At 36.9% G+C, this 6,849-nt stretch overlaps 2 annotated features.

The window, feature by feature from the left end:
- Window positions 3,993–4,172: an enhancer, noted in NCBI's record as "active region_27337". NCBI's record gives its function as "activates an Ori minimal core promoter by ATAC-STARR-seq in GM12878 lymphoblastoid cells {active_cell/tissue: GM12878}" and the evidence as "EXISTENCE:reporter gene assay evidence [ECO:0000049][PMID:35858748]".
- Window positions 4,193–4,312: an enhancer, noted in NCBI's record as "active region_27338". NCBI's record gives its function as "activates an Ori minimal core promoter by ATAC-STARR-seq in GM12878 lymphoblastoid cells {active_cell/tissue: GM12878}" and the evidence as "EXISTENCE:reporter gene assay evidence [ECO:0000049][PMID:35858748]".

Raw genomic sequence — 6,849 nt, forward strand, 5'->3', positions numbered from 1 at the left:
GTCCTGAATTCTCACCCTGGCTCTAGCAAGCTGCACCAGAAAGATAGGCCCACTTGCCTGCCAGAGGGCTGTGAGGTAGAGAATGTGTAGTCACTGCAGTTGACCAAAACTAACCACAATTTCCCAGCCAAGCCTTCCTCTGGAAGCTGAAAGCATTAAAATATACTCCAGAGGTTCAATCGCTACTTCAGACAGTTTCTGTTCAGTATAATTGTATTCAAGGTAGAAAGACGGATTCATAGTGTCTCCTCCTCTGCCATCTTCCCTGACATTACTCCTTACTTGGGTTTTAAGTGCAGCTAGAATGATCTTTGTGCAGATCTAATGAATCTTTATTCATTAGAATGCCAAATCGCCAAACTGGACTTGGGAATATGGTTGATTGGCACTTATGTCCTTGTAGTGCACCCTCTGCTGCAGAATCTGAAAGCTAAATTTTTTTACAACTCCTTGGCAGCTCATATTCTGGATCCACCAATTAGCTGCATTTCATTTGAGACTTAGAAGGGGAAATTGAGGCAAGTGCTATACAGGCATATGTTGTTTTACTGTGTTCCACTTTATTGTGATTCACAGATATTGTGGTTTTTACACATCAAAGGTTTATGTCAACTCAGTATCATGCATGTCTATTAGCACCGTTTTTTTCAACAGCATGTGCCCAATTTGTTAGCATTTCTTAGCAATAAAGCATTTTTTAAATTAAGTTCTATATATTGTCTTTTTAGGAATAATGTTATTGCACACAATACAGTATAGCACAAGCATAACTTAATATGCACTGTGAAAACAAAACATTCAAATGATTCACTTTATTGTGGTGGTCTGAAACCAACCCCACAATATCTTCAAGGAATGCCTGTGTTGTATCTGTTCTTAACATCTTTGGTTATCAACAAGGTTATGTCATATTGTTTTCCTGTGGTGTTGTATCTAGTTTCCTGGGTAGTAAATTTGGAGTCTCAGGTTCCTGCCACCTGCAGCTATGTTAGTGTTGGTAGCTATGACAGCTTCTTGGATCACAGGTTGTGCAGTGGATTTGCATTGTGTAGGTCTTGAGAACCCCTACTCCAGGCTGCAGAAGTGTCAGTTGTCTGAGATTCTGACAGTCTCCCAAGAGGTCCTGAGTAAAGTTCCCTCTTTCAGTCCTTCTGGAGATCTTAAAAAGCACCTTATTCTCTGATTAAATACCCTCCCGATAACATGCTCCCATGGGATCTGTTTCCTGCAATGATTCTGATTGTCACTTGTGTGATAGATGAAACAATTAGGTTGCATTACAACCTGTAGGAAGAGCACAGAGGAAGAAGTGATGGAGTCCAATGAAACTTCTTCATCCTAAGTAAAGTATTAATCAAATTTTACGTGGATCAGATAAAATACTAATATTGAGCTCCACTTCCAGATATTTTATCTCCATATGGTGATTTGAGCTCATGTATTTCCCTTTTTACCCAGCTTGATTAGAAACTCTAAGAGGAGAACTGCACATTGTATGCAGGAAAATTGATCCCATGACCTGTTTTTAGAAGAATATATTCTAACTTCATAGGAATAGAAAAAATGAGTTACTTGAACTCATATTGCTCTTCCCTAAGTGTTAAGTAATTATTCCATTTTATTGATAATTTATCTATGCCATTCCAGGAAGCATAGCACTATATGTCTCTGACAATTTCATCTATTACATCCTTAGAATAGTACCTGGTATTCTAATGTCATTGACCAATAATGTTAATTAATGTTATTACTATCACTATACATAGTTCACCTAATTTGATATTACAAAGCCCATGATTTCTGCCCAATGGGCATGGTGTAGAAATTATGTATTTTAAGTTGCTGTGTGTTACTCTGGTAACCTAATCAAGTTGAATGGTTGATTATAGTTTCATGAATTTACCATCTGCTGTTATTTGATCCAGGTTGTGTTCCATTCTATCCCCAATGTCCTCTCCAAATTTTTCTGTGTTGAATTAAAAATGACTTTGATCCTAGGATTCATTGATCATTTCCATTATACAGAGACTGTGTGTTTATAGTAGCATTTGAACCAAATAATATTTTGGGGGGATAGATTCTTTTATATTTCCTTTTTTTTCTGCACTTGATCCTCACAGAAATTCTGTAATATAGATCAGTTATTTATTGTTATCTCTATTTTAGCAATGAAGATGATAAAGTGTATACCGATGAAACAATTTGTAGAATGTCACACAATTGAATATGAAAGAGCCAGACCATGGCCCACACCTCCTGAGTCTTGGTCTAGTACTTTCTGATATAACCACATGGCTCCCTGGGAGTCCCTGGCTTGCTAACTCTCCTGGACTCCCAAAGAGTCCAAAAGAGACTGGATGCCCAAAGAGACTGGTAGGATGTGTAGGTTTGAATCCACCATGCCACTGATCAATGCCTTTCCTGCTGGCACTGAAAGGCAATGAGCTGCTATGTGCCAGTGTGCCAAGTTCTGGGGTAGGGTGTGGGGAGAAAGAAGAAAACACAAAAGCAGAAAATAATAGAACAAATGTGGTATAAGTTGAAGAGAGTCATTTTCTTCACCTAAAACTGAGCATTCTTTATGTGACAAAGAAAGATGGTTATATATACATATTTTACAAATAAATATATATTTAAATGTATGTACACATATATGTACACACATATATATGTACATTCACACACACACACACACACACATATAATATATGTTATATGTTATATGATGTGTAACACCTACAAGGTTTGGGGTATTTTGGGCTAAAGACTATCTTGAAAATCATTGTGAAGTGGCTTTTTCCCCAATACCCCATATTTATTCAAAATGAAGGCACTGATAGATCAAGAATCCATCAGTTAGAGTCTTTTCTCAGCACAGCTCTAATGTAATCTGGACTTTCAAAATTCCTCCCTACCTCCTCTTTGAGTGATTTGTACCCTCAGTATTACAATATTTGGTTCAATTAATTCAGTTTAATCAATGCCTATTGAAAGTTTATCATAACTTACAAAGGGCTGATACACATTATAGACTAATTGTTTGTAATATAGATAATGAAATATACATATATAATTTCATATATCCTTCACTATATGCGTGTCTGCATATATATGAGATACATATAATATATATATAAATGAATGTTTCTTTTTGTCATTTTATAAAATTTTTTAGTTTAAAATTTCTATAGAAAAGTTGTTTTGTTTATGTTTTACAGTGCTATTTATGTGGTCTCAATATAGGCTTTTTATTTATTTGTTTTTATTATTCATTGTCAAATTATAGTTGTATGTATTTATGGGGCACAAAGTGATGTTATGATTTTGGAATACAATGTGAATTGAAAAATCAAGCTAATTGATCTATCGATAACCTCAAATATTAGATTTTTTCATGATGAGACCATTTGAGATTTACTCAGTGATATTGCAGTGTAGAGTACTAAATTGTTAGCTATATTCACCACATTGTGCAGTAGATCTAAAAAAAAATCAACCTTATTCCTTCTATCTAACTGAGGCTTTGTACCCTTTGATTATCATCTCCTCATTTCTTCCACTCCCCAGGTTTTAGATTCTACATATAAGTGAAAACACACAGCATATTTTTCGGTGTTTGGCTTATTTCACTTAACATAAAGTCATCCAGTTTCATCCATGTTGTCACAAATGACAGACTTTTTCCCTTTCTTAAGGCTGAATGGTATTTCACATTGCGTATATATACTTCATTCTTGTCTTGTTTCAGTCATTTTCTATTTCATTCAGCAATCTCAAATCTATCACTTTCTTCATCATCATAAGTGCATTCAATTTATTCAATCAAATTAATCAGGTGCCTTCATATTCTTAGGTTATAACTCAGTTCCACACTAGAAGTAGAGGTTTTTGGGTTGAAATATTGGTTTGGAAGAAAAGCTAGTCCCTCAGGAAATAATTCAACAAACGGAACTCATATGAAGATGTTACCCTGACCTGTGGCCCTCTCCTTAACTCTGCAGAGCCAGTAACAAATTTTGGTGAGTCATAGATTAGAGCAGACTTTGGCCAATGATTCAGGGCATAAAAGACTTCATTTTGAAAAGGAAAGATAGGAGAACCAGAAAATCCTCATGGTCAGCACTGCTTCTTCTCAGTGTAGGAAAATCTGCACAGGAAAGCACATGTGGTCATAATTAGAATGGGGTGGGCTTTGTGATAGAATAACCGGAATCACAGGATGTGTGCGTGTCTCTGAGCCATAGTCCGTCGTCCCTGGGGCTGCACACATCTGCTGCTGCTGCACACACCTGCTGCTTGTCACGCACCTTCTTCAGACAGTGCCAAACACACATTGACTTGCTTGTGTACAGGTTTCTGTAAGCCTTTGCTTTCTTAGCTACAGTCATCTTTAAATCTCACCTCCCTGAGTTTAAAATCATGTTTATGAATCCTAAATTGTTAGACATAATTTAGCCTCCTAGTAAATTTATATTTGACCTATGAAATTGTTCCTCCAAATATCCCTGATTCTATACTTTTATTAATTTTGGCTAAACAGTTAATGACACAAAGACAGGTGGAGATGAAGTCCCTCTCACACAATACTGGAAGGAAGCCACAACTGTGTTTCCAATCCTCCTTTATCTCCTCAACCAGACTGCCCACTTGGTATTGACAAGCAAGTGCAGCTCTTGCATATGCACTTACAGACTATTTTTAAAAACTGGTTTTGAAAGTTCTAATGATTGTTTTCATGAGTAACTTATGCTTTATTCTATGGGTTAGGAAATTATAAATACATTTTGAAAATGCATTGCTGATTGAAAGTGCATTACTGACAGAACACTGATTAGTAGAATTGTTGTAGGATGTTTTTCTGAAGTGAGCACTTGACAACTGACTGTCTTCTTTTGTCTATCAATACCAGCTGGGTTCTGGGAATATTGTGTAGTATATAAATATGGAGGTGCAGTTCAGGTACTGCAATGCAAGTCTACAAAAGTAGTTAGTCAGAGACTGTAATTTTGGTTATAAAACTACTTTCCTGTGAAGCAGGTTTTAAAATATGTTGAAGCAATATGAAATAGATTTATATCAAAGATCTTCTAGTCCAACTCCTCCCCATGCACATACAGTGCAAATCAGATACTAATTGTAGAAACTTTGCCTTTTGAATACTGAAACATGGTAGCTAATTAACAAGCAAAGTATTTTTGAGGGTAGATGAGGAGACAGAAAAGGACAATCATATGCAGTATAATTTCATGTAAAGAAGAGTTGCTGAAAATAATGAATTTTATAAAAGTTTGAAGAAGTTGCCAACAGTGAGGCTGGTGGTGGCTGTATTGTAATAAAGTTCAGGGGAGGCCTCTGTGAAGAGGGATTAGGCCAGTAAAGACATGAATATGTGAGGGCACAACCCATGTGGCTATCTGGGGGTAAATATTTCATGGGAACCATAGAAGCAAAGGACTTAAGGCAGAAATGAGTTTGATGATTTGTGCAGGAAGGAGACCCACATGGCTGCAGTGAAGCTGGGCAAGGAGACGAGGGGAAGAGCTGGTTCCTGAAGGTCCCTGTTGGCCAAAACAAGATGTTTACATTTTATTAAATGTGTGAGACACTGTTAAATAATTTTGGAAAAAGAAAATTGATTTCCTAATTTATTTTATAAGATTATTTTGACAATACACTTACTTATAGGAATAAAATTTTTCTAAATATTAAAAGAAAAACACTCTGCAAGGTGGGGAGTAGAACATGTGGAATAGGCAATTGTGGAGGTGGAGGACCACAGTGGAGGCCGTTTTAGTAACAGCCACAAATAATTAGGGCATGGACTGTGGTGGAGGGCAGAGAGGTAGTAAAATAGCCAAATTGGGGGAATATATTCTGAAGGTAGAACTGACTGATTGTAAAGTTTTTTGGTAATGATATACTAAAACAATCAAAATACCTCATACATTTCTGTCTGAGGAACTTGGTAAATAGTAATGACATTTACCAAGATAAAGAAGAGAAAGAGAAGAGTGATTTGGTAAGGGAAGAGAAAGAAAAGGGAGTGACAGAGCAAGGGTGCTTGTTTAATCACATCAGGTTTGGGTTATTTATTAGGTTTCAGAGTGGGGATGGTGACTAAGTAAGTAGATACACTGTTCTGGAATCTCAGTGGGAGCCTCACATCACACCTATATTGATGTACCGAAGGCCTTTGAAGCTGTAGAGCTGAATGAGTTCTTTGTAAAGAGTGAGTGTAGATTGAGAAACAGAGTTCTGAATATCCAACTGTGAAACATTGTGTATTCCAACATTTAGAGGTCAGACCAAGGGACATCCAGCAAAGACTGAGAAGAAATAGCCAATGAGGTAAGAAGGAAAGCATCAAGAAAGCAGTGTCTGTGAGGATAGTAAAAATGTATATGAAGACAAGGAGACAGTAAACTGCTCACTGTTTCTGAGAGGCCATTAATAGAACCCTTATGATTGGCTGTTGTGGGAAGTCAGGGACCCTGAACGGAGGGACAGGCTGAAGCCATGGCAGAAGAATGTGGATTGTGATGATTTCGTGGACATTTATGAGTTGCCCAAATTAATACTTTTATAATTTCTTACGCCTGTCTTTACTGCAACCTCTGAACATAAATTGTGAAGATTTCATGGACACTTATCACTTCCCTAATCAATACCCTTATGATTTCCTATGCCTGTCTTTAATCTCTTAATCCCGTCATCTTCGTAAGCTGAGGAGGATGTATGTCACCTCAGGACCCTGTGATGGTTGTGTTAACTGCACAAATTGTTTCTAGAGCATATGTGTTTGAACAATATGAATTCTGGGCACCTTCAAAAAAGAACAGGATAACAGCA

This window comes from Homo sapiens, chromosome 8 (genome assembly GCF_000001405.40).
Source record: "Homo sapiens chromosome 8, GRCh38.p14 Primary Assembly".
Lineage (NCBI taxonomy): Eukaryota > Metazoa > Chordata > Mammalia > Primates > Hominidae > Homo > Homo sapiens.